The sequence below is a fragment of the Homo sapiens genome, chromosome 12 (assembly GCF_000001405.40).
Source record: "Homo sapiens chromosome 12, GRCh38.p14 Primary Assembly".
Taxonomy (NCBI): domain Eukaryota; kingdom Metazoa; phylum Chordata; class Mammalia; order Primates; family Hominidae; genus Homo; species Homo sapiens.
This window is the reverse complement of record NC_000012.12, coordinates 94,101,613-94,127,182: the sequence shown is the minus strand read 5'-3', so window position 1 is coordinate 94,127,182 and position 25,570 is coordinate 94,101,613. Positions and strand designations below refer to the sequence as shown.

Genomic DNA, 25,570 nt, shown 5'->3' with positions numbered 1-25,570 from the left:
AACTGTGCTTGCAGTGGGTCAATACTGAGAGTCTCCTAAGGCATACTTAACATGGCAGCGGGGGGCATGAACCCCTTTGACAGTGTGGTGAAATCTATGGACTTTCCTCAGAATGTTTTAAAATGCATAAAAATATAATAAATAGAATTACAAAAGCTGTAAACTATGTTGAAATACAGCTACAAAATAATTTTTAAAATATGGCATGGTAAAGTGTTATTTAATAACAGTTTAAATAACAAAAACTAGTAACATCTCTAATACTTAATCATTATCTGAAGTAACAATAAGTATAAATCAAGATAGCTGCAACAACTGTCATGCGATTTGAAAGATGTGTGATTTCTCTTGGTGACAAAAAGTCACAGGTGCTACTGATACTATTCTAGTTTGTTGCCTATATTTGTAATTGCAGGGAATGTTAAATTTCAGTTAGAGGTAAGAGAAAATAAAGATGTCATTTTATTTTGCCATCCAAGTTCACAGACCAGGTTAGAAACTGCTGTTATGAGGTCCCTCTACCACATGGCAACCATGTTGAGAACTAGGGCCCCTACGTGTTTTCTTGACATTGATGCACACAGCTCTGGGAGGTCATGTCCCACCTATTCAAGCAATTAAATCACAATTTATATCATGCATCTTTAAAAAAATGTGTTCTTATATAGATAGGTTCAACAACAAGAAGAGAGAAAGGGTCCTATCAGGCTGCTGGTTGGAAAAGACCTTTATTGAATTCATTGCCATGAACTCTCCTTAGCACTTAGTTCTCTAAGACTGGCATTATTGTGTTGTCTGCTGAGTTAGTAGCTTGCTGGATCCTTTACATCCTCTTGTGATGTTCTTGCCCCATAAGATGTGGGCAGTTCAGATATAGGAAATGGTTCAGGAAGAGGAAATTCAAACTCTCCGCCTAGAGAAGCTGTTTGCTCTTTGCATGAAAGTGCTCTTTGAAAATGGCTGAGGGATAAAGACAGGGCTCTCTGGAAGGGGAATTTTGTGCCCACTAAAATATAAATAAGGAAGTCATCTTTTTTTTTTTCTCACAAATGCAAACTTGAAATCAATTCACTGGGCCAGTTGCATAGGTATAAGAGGTACAGTTCCCTTTTCCTGTTTATTTTAGTACTTACCTAAATGAGAAGGGTGAAGGAGTTGTGGGAAGTGTCTTAACACTGCGTGGAAGGGCAGATCACTACTTTATTGTTGCGAAAATGATGTTCCTTTTTAACTTAGAAATTAGCGCATCAGGCCACAATTCTCCTTCAACAATCACCATTTCGCTGATTAAGTGTGTCTTCAAAGATTAGCTTTCATACCTGTAAATTAAAAGGAAAAAAGGTAAAATTCATTCGACAATAGAACAATCTACATCTAAACAGTAGGTCGTCATTAGTGAAAAAACCGGGGGATTTGGAAAAAACAAAACAGAACAATTCTAAGACCAAATTTATGAGGGCAACACATTATAAAATATGGAGCTATCACATCTTCATATTAAAAAGGCTTTTGACCACTTACATATTTATTTAAAAAAAAAAAAAAGTAAGTCTAAGAAAACACCTTCTGGGTAGCTGTCTCCTTGACTCTAGATCATACTTTTTCCCAATCACTTGCATTTGTATTTTGATTATAAGACAAGCAGAGCCTATATCCTATTCTATTACAGCTATTTGTGTGGTTTTTTTCCTTGACTTTGAATTTTTGGAGCTGGCATCTCCAGAGTCATGCCAGGCAATTAGCAGGTTCTTAATAAACCTTTGCTGAATCGAAGGGAATTCGGAGAAGTATTGCTGATGAGGGAGGATACAGAAAGGGATTTTTCTATAAAGCCTGACCAGCAGTGTTAAAAAAGTTTTCCACCAATAACATTAATAATGGATTTTTTAAAAGAAACAAGCTTTTACAATTTGCAAAGTACACGGAAGAAGTCTACTAAAGAGGCTCTCAATGAGCAGTGTAAAGGTCAGAAATAAACAAAATTAAGTCTGCCAGAAGTCTGAAAATTGTCACTGTGCTATTATTGATGAAATTACTAATTCCAATAATAATCGTGGCCATTATTGCATAGTGACTTGTGCAGTTTCTTCATCTGTGAAATAGGGACATGAATAGACCCTCCATCCTTGGGTGGTTATGAGGATTAAATGAGTTAATGCACATAACACACTTCCAGTAGCACCTGGCACATGAGAAGTGTTAGTTATGCCAGGTGTGGTGCTGAGTGCTTCTCGTACTTTACTAGTGGAAATAACAAAGAAGCCAGGATGAAGCGAAACCTTAGGAGCTGGGAAAAAGGAGAAGGGTCGAAACTTATGTTCTAGAGTTTTCATGTCTTAGTCTTTGTATGATTGTTGCTGCTGCCTGGCGCAACCTTCCGCAGGCTGGCTCCCTCTCATCCTGCAGGTCTCAGCTTAAAAGCCCAGCTCAGACATGCTTTCCCTCACTCACAGTCGAAAGTTGCGTCCCCTATATTATTCCCTCTTTCCACACAGTGTTTCTCTTTAGAACACTTAACACTGTGTGTAATTGCATAGGAATAGTTTATCTAGCTAGTGAATTCTCCAACACTAGCCTGTTCACTCCACGAAGGCTAGTTGTGTTTACTGATTATCCTCGATTCCTAGCAAATTGCCTGGCACATACCAAATGCTTAATGAATGAAATGAAACTGTACCTGTTGTAAAAAATGAATGAATAAAAGTATACCTGTTGTAAACAAATGGAATAAATGAATGTATCAGGGTTCCCATTATACCCAAGGTCACTTCCAGGCAGCATGGCATCCTCTTGCTCTACAAGATACTTCTCTTTTGAAAACACATCAGCACTTAGAAAAGTGACCCTACTCCAAACTTTGTAATTTAACACTGGATCCTCTGATAGCTTCTTCCAGGATCCTAAAGTTTGTGTGTCCCATCTCCAGAGAATGTTCAGCCACTCCTACATCACTATATACTTCCTGATTTTCATCAGGCTTACAGAGACAGGGGTGAGAAAGTAGGGTAAAGTTACTCTGATAGTAGCTGAGATATGAAAGTGGAGGAAGGGAAACTATAGAATTTGAGAATTCACTGCCCTTTTACTAAGAAACACTTCTTTTTTTTTTTGAAACTTCTAGGGTGGCAGGAAGTGCATGCCCAAACCTCAGAGTCTGGGGCAATCAACAGTACCCTAACCTCCCTGAACAGGTTCAGACACCCAGGGCTGGGTATAGGAATAGCCCAGATGTTTTTAAAGTTAAGACCTGAAGTGGAGAAAAGGAAAAAATGAAGAAAGAGCTCCAGCTCCACAGGGGATGTCCTGGGATTAGTAGGGACAACACAAACAGAGCTCAGGGAAGGAAGACAGAGAGAAAGGGGAGGGGAAGTTTTTTGTTTTCAAAGTGTAATGTAGAAAAAAAAATAGCTCTGGCTGGGCGTGGTGGCTCATGCCTGTAATCCCAGCACTTTGGGAGGCCGAGGCGGGTGGATCACTTGAGGTCAGAAGTTCGAGACCAGCCTGGCCAACATGGTGAAATCACATCTCTACTAAAAATATAAAAATTAGCCAGGTGTGGAGGTAGGTGTCTGTAATCCCAGCTACTCCTGAGGCTGAGGCATGAGAATCGCTTGAACCCGGGAGGTGGAGGATGCAGTGAGCCGAGATCGCGCCACTGCACTCCAGCCTGGGCGACAGAGTGAGACTCCACCTCCAAAAAAAAAAAAAAAACTCAAAAAAAACAAAAAACAAAAAACAAAAAACAAAAAAACCCCACAAAACTCCTCACCTTAAACTGACCAAGAAGAAGCCAGACTACTACTTCCACTTTTATGTTGTGGCTGGCAGACCACAAGGAGCCTGCTCTGGAGAGGGCGGAGAGGGAAAGCCCAGCTGCTGCTCACTCAGCCCCTTTTTGACAGAAGACTTGTCCCCAGATCAGGGATGACCAGGGAAGAGATCAGTGGACAGGGTAAATCCACAGCCATTTGATGTAGGGACATTTTAATTTGGGAAATCAAATGCAGGAAAGATATTACCTTACTGTTCATTTCAAGCATCTCACACACACCATTAAATGCCCCAAACCAGGCTACTATTGAACCTTAACCACATACAAATGACATATTTACCCAAATACCCCAACATGCTAACAATCCTTTCTGGGTTGCATGTAGCCCAAACTGCCCCTGTGTGTGAATTACAAAAGGCACACTCCCACCCCTTCTTCAAGACACTTGGCTTACTTCTGTTGGAAAATTGTTGTCATGGGCTGATTTATTAGAATAAGACACATGACTATCATCTGCCAGAAAACTATCATAATAAATATACAAACTAACTGTGTTTACTATCAATGATGGTCCTTTAGATGTGGTGCCCTTGTGCAGAAGTCAGTTTGAAATAGAGAAGTTTGAAATAGTTGTATCAAGGCCATCAAAAGCTTAACTTCCTTGTCCCAGTATCCTTATTAATGCTTTGCAAAATCATGATCCTTAATGCATTTCTCGTCTTGCTATGGTCAACTTGTGATACACTGAATGAATAAAATAGAGCGAACAGAAATGAAGGATCTGTTTGTCAGATCGGTTAAACCAGGAAGTTTCAAAAGAAAGGATTGTTAGCATGTTAGAGTATTTGGGTAAATACGTAATTTGTATGTGGTTAAGGTTCAATAGTAGCCTAGTTTGGGGCATTTAATGGTGTGTGTGAGATGCTTGAAATGAACAGTAAGGTAATATCTTTCCTGCATTTGATTTCCCAAATTAAAACGTCCCTACATCGAATGGCTGTGGATTTACCCTGAGCATCAGCTCTGAGGTTGGGAATAGACGACCTGTGTACTTCTGCCTCCTGATCATGCCTGGGGCGTTCTAATCTCATGGTCTAAAGGTCTCAAAACAGGTAAAACAGAAATGAATGTTCTCAAATTCGTGGGGGTATCTCACCAGTTATTTTGGAAATAAATATAGCTGCATGCAGACAAGCTTCCATTTGTCCAGAAGTACCTAACTAAGTGGAAGCTGCCCACACTATTACACTGGAGTTAAAGTATTCTGAGCTCCACCCACTCTCTACCCATTTTTAGCATAGTGTGATGGAGGCAAGCAGACCACGAGAACCCAGTGGAAATGTCACCAAGTGACCAGATCGCAGGCCTGTTTGCAGGTGGTGTCTGACTGCTGGTCACCAGATCCCTCCCACCATAAATACAAAAGTTCCTTGTCAAAATTCTTTCACACAAGTTCTTATGCTTTAAACTCACAAAAGTAGGACAGGGCTCCTATCTCTCCATTTTACAGAATGGGAAACAGGCTCAGAGAGGCCAGTGTGTAGGAAAGTCAGGAACCAGAATATGGGTCTCTTGATTCTTTGGTCCAACATTCCATGAGTCTCAGTTTTTAGCACTGAGATCATGTGGGGGAACTTTGAAAAATGTGGATGCCCAGGCTCAATCCCAGCTCCTCAAGAGATAGAACCTGGAATGTGTATTTTTCTTTCTTTCTTTTTTTTTTTGAGATGGAGTCTCACTCTTGTCGCCCAGGCTGGAGTGCAGTGGCGTGATCTTGATTCATTGCAACCTCCACTTCCCAGGTTCAAGCAATTCTCCTACCTTAGCCTCCCAAGTAGCTGAGATTACAGGTGCCCACCACCACAACTGGCTAGTTTTTGTATTTTTAGTAGAGACGGGGTTTCACCATGTTGGCCAGGCTGGTCTGTAACTCCTAACCTCAAGTGATCACCTGCCTGGGCCTCCCAAAGTGCTGGGATTACAGGCGTGAGCCACCGCACCCAGCCTGGAATGTGTATTTTCTTTAAAGTGCCATGAGGGCTAGGCGTGGTGGCTCATGCCTATGAGACCAGCACTTTGGGAGGCTGAGGCAGGAGGATCACTTGAGCCCAGGAGTTCGACACCAGCCTGGGCAAGATGATGAAACCCTGTCTCCACCAAGGAAAAAAAAAAAAAAAAAAAGGGTGGGCATGGTGGTCCACGCCTGTAGTCCCAGCTACTCAAGAGGCTGAGGTGGGAGGACTGCTTGAACCCAGGAGGTGGAAGTTGCAGTGAACCACTGCACTCCAGGCTGGGCGACAGAGTGAGACCCTGTCTCAAAATTAATTAATTTAATTACATTAAAATAAAGTGCCATGAATTCAGATATACAGCCAAAATTTGGACCCCTTAGTCTGACACGTGCTTAATTGGAGGATCCAGAAAAATAATAAATAAATAAATAAATAAATCGGAGGATCCAGAAAAATAATAAATAATTGGAGGATCCAGAAAAATAATAAAATAAAAAAATCAGAGGATCCAGAAAAATAATAAAATTAAAAAAATCTGACATGCTTAATCAGAGGATCCAGAAAAATGATATGAAAACAAATTTAACTGAAGCATAAGGAAAAAAAAGCTTGGCTTGTTCAGTTTAGAACATCCATTAGAGTAATACCATGGTGTTGTATATTGTATTAAATAAGAAGACACCTCTGAATTGTGCAAAGAGCAGAGATCCTATGAGAAGGAAATTCGTTGATAAGATCCCTACAAATACAGTTAGAATGCAAGAACGATCAGGATGGCCCATTAGAGCTCTGGAAGACAGATACTGCTTAAATTCCCTAACACATTCCAGCTTCCACAATGCTAGGAAATAATATGCTGTGCACTGTGTACAAAATGACTCCCTGCAGGCCTGAAAGAAAAGAGCCTTGTTGGAGACATGGCCAGTCTATTGGGGGTGATTATGGTCTGCTCTCTTCTTCTGTCATGTTTCTTCTCTAATCAGGGCTGACTCAAATATTCCAAGAGAAGTTAGGAGTCAGAACACCTGGTGCTGGTCCCAGCTCTATCATTATCTGCAATGTGATTCTCTTAGCTAAGCTGACTTTGGTTTTCTAATTTTTAAAATGAGAAGCCTAATTGTTGTTCCGGTCACTTTACATGCAGGATGCATTGTGATGATGTATCCATACACATATACAAGCAGAGTATAGCACATTATTATGATTACTTTGAATAGCACCATTGGATGTATTAGTTCCAAATGGGGCATGTGCATTCTATGACTCCCATGTGCCATTAAAGACCCTATTTTCTGGTAGCCTGACACTTTATCCATCTCTAATGGGGAAACATTTGGGAAGCATTGGTTTCCTTCTTTTGAACCACCCAAGCCAGAATATTCCAGAGAGTTGAAGAAAGGAGAGGGATCTAAGGTCAAAACAAGATATTGGAGGCCAGATGTGGTGGTTCATGCCTGTAATCTTAGCACTTTGGGAGGTCGGAGGTGGGCAGCTCACTTGAGCCTAGGAGTTTGAGACCAGCCTGGGCAACATAGTGAGATCCCCACAAATCATAAAAAAATTAGCCGGGCATGATGGTGCATGCCTGTGGTCCCAGCTACTTGGGAGGCTGGGCTGGGAGGATCACTTGAACCTGGGAGGTCGAGGCTGCAATAAGCTGTGATCATACCACTGCATTCCAGCCTGGGTGCCATAGTGAGACCCTGTCTCAAAAAGAAAAAAAAAAAAACACCGTAAAGAGTGTAATTGGATTGTTTGTAACTCAAAGAATAAATGATTGAGGGGATGGATACCCCCTTCTGCATGATGTGCTTATTTCCCATTGCATGCCTGTATCAAAACATCTTATGTACCCCACAAATATATACACCTACTATGTACCCACAACAATTAAAATTGTAAAATTTAAAAAATAATAAAATAAATAAATAATAATTTAACACCCCCTTAAAAAAATATTAGCTTGGCATAGTGGCATGCACTTATAGTCCTAGCTACTCAGGTGGCTGAGGTGGGAAGATCACCTGAGCTCAGCAGGCTGCGGCTGCAATGAACTATGATCATGCCACTGTACTCCAGCCTGGTTGACGGAATGAGACCAGGAAGGAAGGAAAGGAAGGAAGGGAGGGAGGGAGGGAGGGAGGAAAAAGGAAGAAAGAAAAAGAGGGGGCTGGCCATAGAACGGACTATTTGAGAATTAAGAGAAGGTCCTGAGAGAATAGGGAGAAAAGCCAGGCTCTAGGCCTGTGCTGTCCACTACAGTAACCATTAGTCTCATGTGGCTATTTAATGTAAATAAATTAAAATGAAATGCAATTTGAAATTCATCTCCTGCTTCCTACCAGTCACATTTTGAATGCTCACTGGCTGCCTGTGACTAGTGGCTACCATGGTTGCCGGTGCTAGAAAGCTGTTTTGGGCAGCACTGCTCCAGGCCTTATTAAGGGTGGACAGGCTGATTTTTTCCCACAATGTATCCAGATTTCAGTCTGTTCTCAGTGTTCTAATGCCAGTGCACCTGGAGGCTGGGCCAGCTAGGCTGTTTCACTCTTCTTCCCAGCCTGCCACTTCTCCCAGCCCCAACCCCTCTCTCTGATTCAGTAGGAGGTGAACCAAGAGGCAGTGGTGGGAGTCCCTCTCTGTGTAAAGCTGGACTATGGGAGCCCTGGACAGGACTTTCTGGTGGCACTTAGGTTAGTGAGGACCTTCCCCGGACCTTGGGAATAGCCAGGGTCAAATGGAAAATATTTCAAAACCAAATTAAGACCATTGAGAGCTTCCCTTCACATATCAGCTCTCTAAGGATGCCAGCCAACCTCTGCCAGCTACTGTCACATCTGTGAGCCTTGCAGGTCCTGCCCATTAGGGCTGGGTGGGAAGAGAATCACCAGAGAATCAAAGGCCAGAAATGGGCAGGGCCCTGGCGCCTGGAGTCCCACCCCTTCTTGGGAATTGACATGGGTCACTTTGGTCATGCACTACACGTAGGTTCTTTTTGGAGGGTAACAGCAGGCAGTAGAGAACATGAGGGATGAGGGTTATCTCTTCCCCTAAACCTCATGTCCTCATTGAACAAAAGGTAAGGTTCAAGCCAAATTCTGCCATGCTTCTAGTTGTAAGCATAAATTCTTTTTAAAAAATTTTATTTTATTTATATATTTTACTTTTTTAGAGGCAGGGTCTTGCTCTGTTGCCCAGCTTGAAGTGCAGTGGTGCAATCACGGCTCACTGCAGCCTTGACCTTCTGGGCTCAAGCGATCCTCCCATCTCAGCCTATTGAGTAGCTGGGACTACAGGCATGTGCTACCAGCACACCTGGCTAATTTATTTATTTATTTTTAATAGAGACGAGGGCTCACCATCTTGTCTAGGCTGGTCTCGAACTCCTGGGTTCTGGTGACCTTCCTGCCTTGGCCTGCCAAAGTGCTTGGGATTACAGGTGTGAGCCATAGTGCCCGGCCTAGAGAGAAATTCTTTAGCCACACAGGCAACAAGCAGTTTTGTAGGTCTGATGAAGTTCCAGCTCTCTGTCCTTTGCTGTGCTCTGATCCACCTGGATAAAAGATCGCAAACCTTCTGAGGCAGGATTCTCTGTCCCTTAGCAGGCATCATGCAATTAAAAATTCCCTAAGCCAACGGCCAGAAAGTGATGAGTGCTAATTAAGAAATCATCAGTTGTTGATTGAAAAGTACTGCCTCTGGAGTTGGCCCTCTCTGATATAATGCTAGCTGACCTCGCTGACCTCCTTGAATGTGAATTCCTGATAGTGTGTTAACTGACCACCAGGCAGATGCATCGTTATCATCCTGATTTTGCAAAAGTACTTAAAAGTAAATTTCAAAAGTATAGTATGCCTCTGTTGTACTAGGAATACTTAAGCAGAGCGAATTCAAGAAACTTAAAATCACAAAAAGAACTGAACAGATTCTACCTGTTCTGAACCCTGAATGGATTCTCCTGGTTCCCATTACTAGCCTGTGTTCCCTCAAACATGGTGTGTGTGTGTGTGTGTGTGTGTGTGTGTGTGTGTAACTCACAGACCCTTGGTGATCTTCTGAAAGCCTCCATCAGTTTCCTCTGGCCCTTATTCTTCTGGTCCAAAGTTCAAGACTTTGCTTCTTACTAAAGGATATCTTTCTTTCTTTTTCTTTTCTTTTCTTTTTTTTTTTTTTTTTGAGATGGAGTCTTGCTCTGTCACCCAGGCTGGAGTGCAGTGGTGCAATCTTGGCTCACTGCAACCTCCGCCTCACAGGTTCAAGTGATTCTCCTGCCTCAGCCTCCAGAGTAACTGGGACTACAGGCACGTGCCACCACACCTGGCTAATGTTTGTATTTTCAGTAAAGACAGGTTTTCGCCATATTGGCCAGGCTGGTCTCCAACTCCTGACCTCAAGTGATCCACCTGCTTCAGTCTCCCAAAGTGCTGGGATTACAGGCGTGAGCCACTGTGCCCGGCCCTGAGGGTATCTTTCAAAATCTCATCTTGTCCCTACTTTTTGGAAGATTGATTTTTGTGGACTGAATCTGAAATGATTCTAATTATTTGTTCTCCTTAAGACTCGTATTAAACAATCATCATATGATTTTTGCTTAGTTTAATCTTTATTTAAACATGATTGTGTGTTATTTTCTTAATTTAACTTCAAATTCCAAATACATTAGGGATAGGAAGCTCTTTGAAGAGCAAGAACATTTTCTTATTTTTTATATTTCTAGTGCCCTATGCAGTGCCTGGCACTTATTTGCCTTAAATAAATGGTGTTGGGTAAAGGAATACAACTGATGTAATAATTTCAAGGTGCAGAGTTAAAGTTTATTCCAGTGGTAGTTCATAGAATGGAAGACCATTACTCATATAATAGGCCACCTTTGTATAACCCTTATTGTATACCGGGCTCTAGTCTAGCACTTTATATATGTTCACTAATTTCATCTTTACAACAATCCTATTCAATAGATACTGTCATCCTGGTATTACAGATGAGGAAATTACGGTGCAGAGAAGTCAAATGACTTGCCCATGATCATCACACAGCCAGGAAATGAGAAAACTAGGATTCAAATTCAAATACTCTGGCTCCAATTCATGTGTCTGTTGTCTCTCTACTCTACTATTCTTCATGATCTACTAATTAGGGAGAAAATGGAATTTTTCCCCCTATCTCACATCCTACACAAAAATAACATATTAGATGATTTCATATGATCTTCTGCCAATCAAATAGCTAAAAGGCAATAAATAATCAACATGGGAATTACCAGTGAATTTGGGCCAGCATTGAGGCACATAAACCATGGGAATTAGTGAGGGAAGACAGAAGTTGTCTTCATCTCCTGGAGGTATGTACATGTTTATGAGTGTGCGTGTACGTGTATGGGTGAGGAGGGATTGCGAGGGAAGAGAGAAGAAAGAGAAGGTGGAGAAAGGGCAGAGAAATCTTAGAAAAGGAGGAACTCCCTTTCTAGCCTTTGTCTCTGAGGCAGCCCCAGTCACAGGAGTGCAGGGGTAGGTCCTAGTATCAGATAATAGCCACTCCTGTGGCTTATGGTCACCTGATTATTGCCACTCAGAGATGTAGACCCGGTTTTCCAGATCTTTAATTTTTAAAGAGAACAAGAAACCTGCATTTTTATGTGAAATTTCCTGATTTTAAAAACAAAACACCTCTCCCTACTGAAGGCCAAGTCTATCAGCTTGAAGACTCAGATCTTAGACTTCAGGAGGTTCCAGGATTCAGAACTGTAAAGACTTATTTATGATCCAGAATTAAATGGAAATGTCTACATCTGAGTTACGGCAATGAACCGTCTGATTTTTGTGGCCCCTCCCCAGGAGCTGAGTTGGATTTGTTGCAGAATTCCTACTCGTATTTTCCAAATATCATGCACGTAGGCCCCACATCACAGTTTCTTCCTGCGTTTGCCTACCATGCATATCATGATTCACTGAATGCTTTTCTCTTTATTGGCTCTATATTAATTCCCTTTTAAAAACTTAGGCCAACATAGCCTATAATAAAATCATAGGTTTCATGTGCTAGACAGATTTTACTCTAAGTGCATTAAAATAAATAGACAGCTAGTAGAATAAATATTGCTCATTTTGTCTACCACTTAAAATCGTCCTCTGATAATATGCTTTTCATCATTGGAAAGCATTGCCATTCTGAAAAAGACTCTTCAGTCAAGGCTAAGATGGAACGTTAGAGAAGGGGAAAGAGACATTGATTGTGCTAGGCTGGGAGAGGAGGAGCAGGAGGATCCCTGAGAGAGACAAATTTTATTCCACTCGATAAGAAATATGGGAACTTTATAGCTTTACTGTTAAGGATGCACTGGGATTTTATGAAAGAACTCCCCCGCCCCCATCACTGGTTTAGAAAAATCTCTGCCTATCTCCCATATTTTATTTGCCTGTTATCTCCCTACTACTAAAAACAATTTGCATGAAAACCATCAGACTCTTAGCTCACAGGAGTCCTTGGGCTCCTGCTGTTTTCTTGCTTGCTCAGGCTGGTGCTTTGTCTGTGGTTTAATCACAAACTCCTGCTTTGGGTACCGTTAGGAACCAGCAAGTAGTGGAGCCAAGTTTCAGACACGTGGGGACGTGGCATTTCCATCTAGAATCCTTGAAGGCTGATTCCCAGGAGAGAATCCTTGGAAATGTACCCTCAGGAGGGCTGGAAATGAAGTGACTGTAAGCATGCAGGGAGGTGGGGACTGAATTTTATAAAGTAAGTGGTACAAGGGGCTTTCTACTCTAGGGTGGTAGAGCGGGGAGTTTTGTGTCACTGCCAGGAAAGAGTCCTTGTTCCAAGCATCTTGCTTTGGGCAGAAATGACAAATGGACATTCACCAAGGTTCAGTCCTTGGTACTCTTGGTGGGTGACACTTCAAGACGCTGCTAGATAACACTTACCCTGGAGAGAATTTGTTTTCTAGGAGTGATGATGAATATTCTTTCTTCCTTTTTTTTTTTTTTTTTTTGAGGCAAGGTCTTGCTCTGTCACCCAGGTTAGAGTGCAGTGTCATGACCATGACTCACTACATCCTTGACCTCCTGGGCTTAAGCGAGCCTTCTTCCTCAGGCTCCTGTAGGTGGAATTACAGGTGTGCACCACTACGATCAGCTGATTTTTAAATTTTTTGTAGAGATGGGGTCCCATTATATTGCCCAGGCTGGTCTCAAACTCCTGGGCTCAAGCGATCCTCCTGTCTTGACTTCCCAAAGTACTGGGATTATAGGCATGAGCCGCCATGTTTGGCCTATCTTGCTTTTTAAAGTAAAATTTAAAAAAAAAACTATAAAAACAATTTTTCAGGACAGAGACCACGTTTATGTTCTGCCCATCATTAAATTGCTAGTGATGCCTCGTGTTTAATAAGTGCTTGAATTTTAGTTCAATTAAATCAACTCACTTAAATTATTTATTAAGTTAGCACATTTTGGGAGAAATGGAGTAGTATAAAAAGGAGATAAAAACCAGCAATAGTGCCACTAATAGATAGCCTGTTAATATTTTGCTGAATTTGCTTCTAGTCTTTTTATTTGCATATACATTTTTCCAAATACAATTTAGATCATGCTTTATGATGAATTTTGTATTCTGTCTTGAAAATTAATGTTCCACCAAGAGACATTTCCAAGATCATTAGTCTGAAGAAACATTACCTTTAATGATCATATGACACTCCAATATTGTGTGTACCATTGTTTATTTAATCATTCTCATATTGAGTGGTCAGAATGTTTTCAAGTTTTCAACTGGGACCCGGAACAATAGAGGCTCATTGCATGCATTGTGCTTTTCTTTTCTTTTCTTTTTTCCCCGAGACAGAGTTTCGCTCTGTCACCCAGGCTGCAGTGCAGTGGTGCAACCTCAGCTCACTGCAAGCTCCGCCTCCTGGGTTCACGCTATTCTCCTGCCTCAGCCTCCTAAGTAGCTGGAACTACAGGCACCCACGGTGGCAGGCTCTGTGTTTGACACCAGGGCACAGAGACAGAGGAAAGTTCTAAGTTAGTGAAACGGGAGAGTTCCCTGATCCCCTTTGCAGGACATGCGACAGAGGTCACCTGTTTGGTCGCTGCTGCTCGAACCCCTGACAGGTCAGGTGCAGGAACCAGAGTGAGTGCTTTCGGGTTCCCGCCCCATGGCAGCATCTAGGGGTGGGTGTCTGCGACTCCCAAAGCCCAAGTGGGCACGTGTTACACTGTGCTCTTTCAGCCTTGCCATTCACAGACAGCTTATGTATTTACCAGCTCAGTGGGCCTTCTGCCTTTTCACAAGGGCAGTGGGCCAGTGTGACAGCTTTCTGTATATATCCAGAGCTCTTGCCCAGCGTCCTGAAAGAATCAAGTCACACACGGACTTGAAGGATGAATGCGGGGTTTTATTGAGTGGTGGAGGTGGCTCTTAGTGGGATGGATGGGGAGCTGGAAGGGGGATGGAATGGGAAGATAGCCTTCCCTTGGAGTTTTGGAGGTCTAGCGGCCAAACTCCTCTTTGACCGCCCCCAGCTGGACTCCTCTTGGCGTTCAGATGCTCCTTCTCTTTTCTCTTTCTCTGCTGTGCTGTTGTGCTGTTTGTCCACTTGTCCCCTCATCTCCTCATTTCCTCTTCTGCTCATATGCTTCTGGAGCCTGGGGTTCAGGGTTTATACAGGTATAGGATAGGTGGATCTGGCAGGCCAAAAGGCAACTTTTTGGGTGTGAAAACAGAAATGCCTGTTCCCACTTAGGGCTGTGAGTCTCCAGGCTTGAGGGCGGGGCCTTTGCCTGGGAACCATCCTCTTCTACCCAGTATTTCCCTGTCTCCTGTTCATATCATTAGCAGCAATAGTTGAAAGGCAATAGTAGAGGAGCCCGGGAGGGTAGGACCCATCAGAAGCTGGGAGGAGAGCCAAGACCACCGTCCTCAGACTCTATGGGAGGGGGCAGTAACAGGAAGAAAAAAGTGGGCAAGTGTCAAAGGGGCTGGAGAAGCCCTGAATCCTGTTAGCAAACTGTGCTCTGGCCCCAGGTCTTCTTCCAGTTTCTCTAACATAGGCCACACCCACTCCTGCTGCAGAGACTTCGCACATGCAGTTTCTGCTGCCTGGATCCCATTCACTGATTTTAGGTTCCTTGTCTTTGAGCTCTTTAGCTCAATCTTCATATCCCCTTACTGACTTCCCTAACTCAGCTACTTCCCTCTATTAGACACTCTCAAAATTGCTGCTCTTCTTTGTAAAACATTTTATATTTATCTCAATAATCCTTGATTACTGCCCACCTCTGTCAATGGAAGCTTCACAAACAATGAAAAATATGTTAAATGAATGAATGAATGAATGAATGAATGAAAGCAGGGGACTTAAAGATCTTTGTTTTCTTTGTAAAGGTATGATAGATGCAAACATAGAAAGATACAGAAAAAAAAAGAGCAGGTAGAGGAGGCTCAGCACAGCTTCCCTTCCAGCTCTTGCCTGTGCCCAAGGAAAAGCATCTTTTGGCAGGCATTTGGCTCCAGAGCAAGGCTGGCAGGGCCAGGAGGCAAGACGATGAACTTGGTTTCATCAGGAGGCCCAGCACTCCTCCTCTGACACTGAGCAACAGTTAAAAGGCAGGAAGGTAATGGGCTCCTCCTTTTGCCTCCCTGCCAGTTTCCTAGTATTGAGGGAGAAGCAGGGATAAGGAGTCTTTGGAAGAGTCTCCATCCATGAAAGGCAGGCAGAAAGCAGTGAGAGGGAAAAGAAGGGAGATCTGTTAGAGCTACAGATGAAATGACTGAGAATCCAGGGGCTTGTCTGGTGGTGATACTGTCAGCCATGGAAGAATCCATTTCTAATAGCTGCTTCTTATACATTATTCATGAAAACGGGAAGACAGAGCCGATAACATCAGAATGATGCCACTGTCCAGCAAATCTAATGACTGTAGCTTGAGGGCATTTTAACTAGCATGTAAAAATATTTTTGCCACTTTGAGGTCCAGAGGGTTAGAAAGCTAACTCAACTTGAAGGGCTGGTGAGTTTCATTTGGAAAAAGGTGTGGCCTTCCACCAGCAACATCTGTTTTGTTGTGGTGTCTGGGCCATTCCTACCTTCTCATTTCTTAGTTTCTAATGGAAGAATTATTGCTGCTTTAGTTAAATAGCCCTAGGTTTTCAAATCAGTCTCTATTTTCCTACTTGTCATTCAAAAGACAGGGACAAGCAATAGGACTCTGTGAAGAGCTTTGCTGGATTTCAATACAAATTATTAGCTTCTAATCTCTCCAAGCCTAAGGGACAAGTGCTTTTTAAACAGTGAGAGAATTCTGCTGCTGCTAAAATCTGATGTTTTCCCCCAATTTCTGATTCATTACAACTGCAAGATTCATTCCATCTTAAAAACCCCTTCAACTTGCTGTCAAAAAGCCAGGAGGTTAGTCTGTTGAAAGGGAAGAGAGGAAAATTAAGAGTGGAGGCCATTCTCATTGTCCCGGGGTACAGGTGGGAAGAGGGAGGTGGCAGCTCACGTCCGTTCTTAATTTGCTATTTTATTTCACAATTTGTTTATTGTGAAATTCTTAATTTATTATTTTCTGACCTTCATGTAGAATGTTCTGGGTTCCTGAACATCAGTTGATGCATTTCAGTCAACTGCATTCATTCATCCATTTCACTAACAGTTATCAAGCGTGTGTGACGAGTCTAGGGCAGCAGTCCCCAACCTTTTTTGGCACCAGGGACTGGTTTTGTGGAAGACAGTTTTTCCACAAATGGGAGGGAGTCGGGAGGGATGATTTGGGGATCAGGGATTAGATTCTCATAAGGAGCGCATAACCTAGATCCCTCGCATCAGCAGTTCACAATAGGGTTCGGGCTTTTGTGAGAATCTAATGCTGCAGCTGAGCTGACAGGAGGCGGAGCTCAGGCAGTAATGCTTGCTCACCTGCACTCACCGCCTGCTGGTGGCCCAGATCCTAATAGGCCACAAACTGGTACCAGTTCGTGGCTTGGGGGTTGGGGACCCCTGGTCTAGGGCACTTGTAAACTGTTTGCAGAGTAAAACATGAATCCAGCTTCGGTGCCTGCCTTCATGCAACTTATAATCTCTGCAGACAGATGAATGAATGATTGAGTAACATCATAAAACAGTGTTATTCCCGGTGTACTTGGAGAGGAAATAATGGTGAGGAACGGCGGGCGTGGAGTTCAGATGATCAGGTTTTATTTAAATCATTATGTATTTTATTTTCAATTGTATTATATAAACATAACTATCCCTTCCAACCTGTAATTCCACAGACACTGCTCAGGAGACTGATAAAGTTGATTTAAAGGAAATAATAATAGACCTAGTGGTATTAGGATGTAGAAAAATCACCAACTTGGTAAATAATAGTAATAATGATTATAACAGCCAACGCTTATAAAGTGCTTAGTATGGGCCAAGTACAATTTATAAGTGTTTTTTGTATTTTTGTATAATCTTTATAACCACCATGCAGTACAATTGTCATCCCTATTTTGCCAATAAGGAAACTGAGCAGCGAACTTATGTAACTTGCCTAAGGTCACACAGGTACTGGATTTGAATCCAGACAGCTGGCATCTGCGTGCGTGCTTAGAGAAACCAAGGTGTGGGACCCCCAGGAGATAAGGAGCAAACCAGCCTTGGGAGGTGAGAGTCAGAGACAGTTCAAGGCAGAGGAGGTGTTTAAAGTAGTTCATGAAGGATGAGTACTGTGGACCAATGGACAGGGGGCAAGGGTATGTTAGGTGGGAGGGCTGGGCCACAACAGGTGCACGGCTTGTTTGGGGTTGAGAGTGGTGGGCTGGGAGTGGCAGGGTGGTGTGGCAAAGGGCATGTGACGTGGGAAATGAAACAGGGTTCATACCACTGAAGTCCTCATGTGTCTGGCTGGACTTTATCCTCTGAGATACTGACTAAATTTTCACTCTGGAAAGAGACTCTGATGGCCGTGGAGGGGGCTGGCCATGTGGGGGACTGGCCACGTGGGGGCTGGATGACTCAGAGAGGCCTGGGAGGGGCGCTTTTACTCAGTTGCTCAGGAGATGGAAACTTCATGAGTCAGAAGGAACATCTGCCCCCATGATCGCTCTCCATTGAGTGGAAGCAGTTATGAGATTGGTGAGATTGTCTGGTGGGGCCAGGGGAACACAACCTTACCCCTCCCTTCTCCCTCCTCCTCCACGCTGCAAAGCTCTGGTCTCATAAAGGGACCCATGCTGCCTGCCTCAAGCTGAGGCCCCTCTCCAGTCCTAGTTCCAGATACCCAGGAGACCTTCCTTACCCTCTCACTACACTGGCTGCTCTCTTTCCTAATCCTCATGGATGAGGATGGGGGTCGGGGGTGGGGGGCAGTGGGCAGCCTGGCATCCTCCCTGAGGCTGCCTGGGTGTGGATCTGCAGATACAATCTCTATCCTCCCAGGTCTCAGGACCTGGGGGCTTGGGGAGGGTGGAAGCCCAGTTTTCAGCCTGAGTACTTACTAGCTTATTCATCAACCCAGCTGTATCAATAACAAATCAGTTACTATATTTCAGTCCCCATCTAGTACCAGGTCTGGTGTGATGAAGACTAAAAGGAAGGCATGCAACTGATTCACAACAATAGCCATTCCTTACCACAACCTCATGCATTATTATTGTCCCCATTTGGATAGGAGGAACAGGCTCAAAGGGCTTAAGCAACCTGCGGGAGGTCACAGTTAGTGAATGCCAAAACCAGGAATCAAGCACATGGCTTCTCTCACTTAAAAAAAAAACAAAAACAAAAACAAAAAAACAAAAAACCCCCATATTTCAGGTAACTAAGCTGGTCTTTAAAAGTCCCTCATATACTAGTATAATTTAACTGTTAGAAATCAGAAAGTTTAAGGAAATATTCTGTCTGCATAGTTTTGGATGTGCAACTAAAGTCTTACAAATAAAATAATCATGAATGATGAAATGATAATTATCCGAGAAAGGCAGCTGCCTATTTGGATAGACTTACACATTTTATAGAACTCAGTGTTAACACTGGCCAATTTTTTCCCTCTTGGTTCTTCTCTGAATTTCAATGAATTTTTCATCAGCATATTAATTAGTGCAAATCTTGGATTGCACTTTGTAATTAAGATCTTATGTGTTCCTCTAGATCTTACGTTTGAGTTAAATGTTAATTTTTCAAAGAGAAAAATTAGGAATTTGACAACTGCCTTCCTTCCTGGCAATAGAATATACATGCTGCCTGTCAAAAAAGATGGAATGCCTGAGTTTCTAAGATAGGGAGTGATAGATTATTCATCATGAAATTGCAAACTCATTTGCCCCATATCACAATCAATTGCTGACAGCAGTTTTTCTGGAAACCCATTTGTGAAACGCATTTGGGAGTCTAGTCACCGAATGTTAACTCGGATTCCTTGACTTGCCATTAGTCTTTGTAACTTTTCCTTAGTCCATGTCCTGATTTGCTCTAATTTCTATCAATTTTAAAGTCACCAGAAGAAAGTTATGTAGTATAAGTTCATTTTCCCATAGTAATAATAAAGTTCTTACCACATGCTCTTGAGAGGCAATTCTCCACGGATCGCTCTTACTTCTGCACATCTTATGAGCAGGAGCACTGACTTTTTGTTGTGGGTTATCTTTTCAAAGATGCTTATTAGCAAACAGCCTTAGAAGACAGAGATAGTATCTTCTCCTGGAGCAAAGAGCAGGCATGCTGACTGCCCATTATAAAAGATTTGGGTTCTCTAAGCTCAGGGTTCCCCTCCTGTAATGCAGCCCACTGTATGTGCCGGTGATGCCTTTGTGTCACTCCATAGGAACTGAGCTCAGGGAACTAGCACAAATACTGATGCTACTGCTATAGCTGTTGCTGTGAGTAATAAAGTCCTTTGCTTCTGACCAGGGGTCTCACGTCACCCACCAGCTTCTATGAAATGTGGCAGGCTAACTTGCGAGCTTGCAAGTAGGATAAAAATTCCAGAGCTTTCACAGTCCTTGACACATGCCAGGCACTGTTGTGTGTGTGTGTGTCCTTATAGCAACTGTATGAGGTATTATTCATCCTCATTTTACAGATGAGGAAACTGAGGCACAGAGACATTATTCAAATAGGTGGCAAAGCTAAGATTTGAACCAGGCAGCGTGATTCTGTTGTCTGTGCTCTGCTTCATTTCTTCTCTCTTGAGCACATGATCCCAGAGCTTGCCTTAGCTACTAAATTGCAATTTAATAATGGAGTGCTGCCCCATACCTCTTAGAACAAATTGATCAGATATTGGTGTTAATGATGCTCCTTCAAAAGTTCCAAGAAGTTTCTGTGCATTCACCTTGCAAATATTTATAGAGCAAGAAACACCCTGGTTGTTGCCTGTGGTGTAGTCTATGCTTTTGGTGCCTAAGAGGGGATTGGCCTGGGAGTAGCCAGCAGGTATTCTTGTTCCTTCTTGTAGCTTCCACTATCCATTTAGGATAGTCCTCCCCTGCCCTACTCCACTCTCAGGGATCAACTACTCCTTATCTTCTGCTTTCTAATACCACTATTAATAATAACAGTAAATAACAACGATACCACCATCATTCAGCAAATATGTATCATGTGCCTAGTTTGTACCTGGTGTTATTACAGGCACTTGGGATGTACCAGTCAATTCAACTAAGACCTTGCTGCATCTAGCTGGGGAGACAAGCAATGAGTGAATAGACAAATATATAATACCAGGTATGGTTCCATGAAGAAAATCAAAGCAGTCAGGGGATAAGGGGTGATTGGGGGGCTACTTTAGATAGAATGGCAGGTGAGGCTCTCTAAAAGAGGGGACATTTGAGCCAAGACTTTAGTGCATGATCGAGATTTGCCGAGTGCCAACTATTTGCACTGTTGCAGGGCTTAGGGATACTTCAGTGAGCAAAAGAAAAGCATTCTAATTAGGCACGGCAGACAATAGAAAGCACATAAATAAAACCCTGAGCATGGCCACAGTGGGAAGTGCAAGAAAGCAGGGAAGAGGGCAAGAAGCCCTTGGGGATGGGGCAAGGGTGGTTCAAATTGAAACTGAGGAGATCAAGGAAGGTCTCACTGAGGAGGTGACACTGAGCAAAGTCCTGAAGGAAGGGAGGGAATGACCCACAAGGCCAACTAGGATAAGAGTGTTGCTGGTAGAGGAATGTGTTTGGTGAATAGCATTGAGGTCAGGGTGGCTGGAGCAGAGGGAACCAAGGGAAAGGTAAGTGTCAGGCCAGATTGTGCATGACCACATGGTCCTAGTTAAGGACTTCGGCTTCCACTTTGGGTGAGATGGAAGGCGACCAGGGGGTTCTAAACAGAGACATGTCATTATCTGACTTATAAAATAGTAACCATAATCCTCTTGGTAGCTGTCATTTGTTAATGCTACTATGTGCCGGTCACTTGAATGTCATCTCAGGGAATCCTCTATAAGGTGTTCTTAGGGAGGCATTACTATTATTTCCATGGCACATACTATGATGTGAATATTTGTCTCCTCCAAGCTTATGTTGAAACTGAATCCCCAGCATGGCAGTATTGAGAGGTGGAGCCTTGAGGTGATTGGGTCATGAGGGCTTGGGCTTCATGAATGGATTAATTTATATATGGGTTAATGGATTAATGGGTTATCCAGGGAGTGGGACGGTGGCTTTATAAGAAGAGGAAGAGGGACCTGAGCTAGCATGCTCAGCCCCCTGGCCCTGTGCTGCTGTGCACCATCTTGGAACTCTGCAGAGAGCTCCCAGCAGCAAGGACGCCCTCAGCAAATGTGGCCCCTCGACCTTGGACTTCTCAGCCTTCATAACTGTAAGAATAAATTCCTTCTATTTATAAATCACCCAGTTTCAGGTATTCTGTTATAAGCAACAGAAAATGGACTAAGACAGTACAGATGAGCTAACTGAGGCAAAGAATAATTGAGGACATTTCCCCAAAGTTGCACCATTTCTCCACACTGGATTCTTATCCCCTAACCCCATTTGGGCCCTCAACACAGCTCAGTGATCCTTTGGCCCGTTGACCGCCATCCTCCCCATGCCTCCATCCCCACAGAGAAACCCCATCCCCACCCCAGCTTCTTCTTGGCCTCGTGGTCCAGCCCTACACTTGTAAACATCGGTGCACCGCTGGTCTTCAGCACCTAGGCTCCCCTTCCTTCTCTGAGAGCCTCACCCTCCCTACCTATCCCCTCCACTTCTGCCACAATCTGGGTTCAGCAGGCACCACATGGCTGCCCGGCTCAGCCATGTTTTTCAGTCACGTGTGTAGGTTTGCACCAATGCAATGGGAGAGGAAGGGCTGTGTGAATCTCTAATTCCTGCCCTATTTTTTTCCTTTTTTCACAGCCACATTGCTAAAGAACAATCCCCACTTCCTTGCCTTCTGTACATTCCCAGGCTGCAGTCTGGCTCCCTCCTTCCTCATCCTACTGAAAGGAGCCCTGCTGAGCCCACCATTGATCTGCTGGTGACTAGGTGTCAGGCATGTGCACAGACTTTTTCCATTTGAACTGCTCCAAGGCTGGCTGACGGCCACCCCCTCGGACTTCTGTCCACCCAACACCCAGTCAACCATTCTGGTGGCTCTTTCTCAGTCTCTTAGGTCCCCCAGCGCCCACAATTGGTACTTTTTTTCTGAGGCAGAGTCTCACTATGTCACTCAGGCTGGAGTGCAGTGGCACGATCTTGGCTCACCGCAACCTTCACTTCCTGGGTTCAAGTGATTCTCCTGCCTCAGCCTCCCAAGTAGCTGGGATTACAGGCACGTGCCACCATGCCCAGCTAATTTTTGTATATTTAGTAGAGACAGGGTTTCACCATGTTTGCCAGGCTTGTCTCTAACTCCTGACCTCACATGATTGCCTGCCTGGGCCTCCCAAAGTGCTGGGATTACAGGCGTGAGCCACCGCACCTGGCCAAAACTGGTACATTTGAAGTTCTGTTCCTGACCATCTTCCTATTCTGCCAGCATCATCCCATTACTTCATGGACTCATGTACACTTAACGTTGTATTTTTAGCACCAATGTACCTCCTACATTTTAGTCTTTCTAACTGTCTATGTGACATTCCACTTGGATACCCCACAGATGTCTGGACTCTCATGACCCAATCTGAGTCAATCCTCCCCGAACTCACCTCCCCACGGTGATTCCAGCTCATCCTCTGCCCTCCTTCCTTTCCACCACCCCTGTCTGATTACTCAGTTCCGTAGTTTCCATCTGCCTCAAAGAGTGCCACACCCGCTCCCTGTTCTCATTGCCAGTGCCTTGCTTGATTTTATCAGCCACTCCTGCCTGGACTACTACAGTGACCTACTTACAAGTCTTCTTATTTCTTGCTTGGTGGTTATCACAAAGATCACTTTGGAAGCTTCTTGAAAGTGCAGATTCTCAGGCTCTACCCCCAGAGAGTCTGATTTGGTAAGACCAAGGTACAATCCAGGCATGTGGGTTTTTAATAAGCTCACCGCTGGAATCATCCAGTGCAGATGGTCCCCAGACCACTCTGTAAAAACCACATGACTTGTCCTCTTCTTATTCCAGTCCATTAACTACATGATTAATTACTAAAGCTATTACTACCTAACATTTTTGGAACACTTATTATATCCCAAGGCTGTGTTGAACTTTCTATATGCCTATGGGCCACTAACATAACAACTCTATGTTTTAACTATAATTATGATTCCATTTTACCTTTGGGAAAACTGAGGCACAGAGAGCTAAGTTAACTAGCCCAAGGGCACATTCTCTCTGATCCAAAGCCAAGTTCTCGTGAGTACATCTTACCGTCTCCTTTGCTCCCCATGGTCCAGCTATGCCGAATGTCTTTAGTTCTCTGAATGACTTTAGTTCTCTGCTTCTTTATGGCTCTGAGCATTTGTCATGTGGTTCCCCTCTTTGAAATGACCATCTGTATCAGTTTCCTATGACTTCATAACACATTGCAAACATAACAGCTTAAAACACCCATTTATTAGTTCATAGTTCTGGAGGTCAGAAGCCTGAATGCAGCATGACTGGGTCCTCTCTTCAGGGTCCTACAGAGATAAAATCAAGGTGTCAGCTGGGACTAAGTCTCATACAGCTTGGGGATCCCTTCCAAACTCCCTGCTTATTGGCAGAGTTCAGTGCTCTTGCAGTGGTAGGATTGAAGGCTGGTTTCTCTGCTGGCTGTCAGGCAGGGGTCGTTCTGAGCTCCTAGAGTCAGCCTGCATTCCTTGCCACGTGGCCCCTTTCATCTGTAAAGCCAGCAAAGAAAATCTTGCCAATGATGAGTTCTTGCCGCTTGTCAAATCTCTTCTGCCAGGACAATCCAGTCCCTTTCAAAGGTTCACCTGGCTAGGTTAGGCCTACCCAGGATCATCTCCAGATCTTAAGATCAATTAATTTGGGAACTTTAATTACATCTGCAAATTCTCTTCACAGAAGCACCTAAATTGTTTGATTGAATAACTGGGCAAAGGTGTGTGTACACTGCGAGGGGGATGGGCTGAGAATCTTCAGGGGTCATCTTAGAATTCTGCCTAATCTTCAAAACTCAGCTCAAGGGTGACTTTCTTGATGTCTCTAGGCCGAGCTAGGTCCACCCCCTCTACCCCACAGCATCAAATACACACTCTTCTACTGGTCCATTTCCCCCCAGCTGGGCTGTGAGATTCTTGAGATCAGAAACCAAGCGTTGGTCATCTTTGTGTGCCCAGCTCCCGGAATAGCACCCGACTCTATATTTGCTGCCTGAGAGCTCAGGATGTGCTCAAGCAAGCCCTCCAGACGAGAAGGGCATTTTCATTAGAATTGCATGCATCGCAGGTACAGGGCTGTTGACGGGACAGCAAGTGCTTCCGGAAGGTCCCAGGAAACTTCATCGGCACCCTACGCTCCAAAGTCTTTTAGCCGAGAACCATGGGCAGGCCAGCACGCCTTCTGAAAAGCCCAGTGAAACCAGCATCGCCGTGACGGTGAGGCGGATGGGCCACTAGGTGTCACTCAAGATTCAATAAAGAGAATCGCGGATGCTTCGAAAGCCGTTTCCGCCCTTCTAGGGAAGGGAGCTGGTTAGACGATCCCCACCCATTGTTTTTTGGTTCACGCTCCAAGCCTTCCGCGCCTCTTCATTTCCCTTCGCGGACAAGTCTGGGTCTAAAATAGGATCACAGAATTCGAAGCTATAAGGCTGGGGGCCACCCGACCGGCTAATTCAGCCTCCCGATTTTGTGGACCAGCAACCAGAGCCGGGAGCTTGCGCAGGGCGGGCAGCAGAGCCCCGCTTCAGCCCCCACGGGGTCCGCGTGCTCCTGCCTACCCTCGAGCAGCAGTGAGGAGGCGTGGGCGGGTCCCGGCTCTCGGCCTGGGTGTCCAGGGTGTCCAGGGTGTCCTGGGTCGTCCCGGGGGCTGCACCGCGAGGTGTCCCTCAGGACCACTTCCAGATGCCCAGGCCGCATTCAGCTGATTCAGCGCCCGTGCTCCAGAACCCAAGACAAGGAAGGTGAAAAAGAAGGTCCCGTGGATCTGTTAGGACCTGACCTTTCTTCAGATCGTCTCAAACAATCTCTTCTTTCTTTGGATTTTAGGGCTGGGGAGTGAGGACGCACCTGGCTTCCTGACAGCATCTGCAATTGACTACAGTCCTTTCACTTATGCCAGGGGGAGGTTCGGGGCTGAAGGGATGGGGTCGCAAAATGCTCGTGCAAAGCACCTTCTTGGCAGGAGTTTGGTTTTTCTGCCCCCACCCTCCTACTTTCCCCGTGGAAGAAGTGGATGTCCTCGCGCGAGGTTCGAACAGGCTGCAAG

At 44.1% G+C, this 25,570-nt stretch overlaps 1 long non-coding RNA gene across 1 annotated transcript, besides 3 other annotated features; it reads right to left on the bottom strand.

Annotated features, from left to right (window-relative positions):
- Positions 1–712: 712 nt before the first annotated feature.
- LOC124902986 (uncharacterized) lies at positions 713–25,570 on the bottom strand. The gene is made up of 2 exons (XR_007063409.1): positions 23,567–25,570; positions 713–1,319 (listed from the first exon to the last, which is right to left on the bottom strand). It is a non-coding gene; the product is annotated as an uncharacterized LOC124902986 (long non-coding RNA).
- Positions 17,602–17,881: an enhancer, noted in NCBI's record as "active region_6776". NCBI's record gives its function as "activates an Ori minimal core promoter by ATAC-STARR-seq in GM12878 lymphoblastoid cells {active_cell/tissue: GM12878}" and the evidence as "EXISTENCE:reporter gene assay evidence [ECO:0000049][PMID:35858748]".
- Positions 24,848–25,017: an enhancer, noted in NCBI's record as "active region_6775". NCBI's record gives its function as "activates an Ori minimal core promoter by ATAC-STARR-seq in GM12878 lymphoblastoid cells {active_cell/tissue: GM12878}" and the evidence as "EXISTENCE:reporter gene assay evidence [ECO:0000049][PMID:35858748]".
- Positions 25,468–25,527: an enhancer, noted in NCBI's record as "active region_6774". NCBI's record gives its function as "activates an Ori minimal core promoter by ATAC-STARR-seq in GM12878 lymphoblastoid cells {active_cell/tissue: GM12878}" and the evidence as "EXISTENCE:reporter gene assay evidence [ECO:0000049][PMID:35858748]".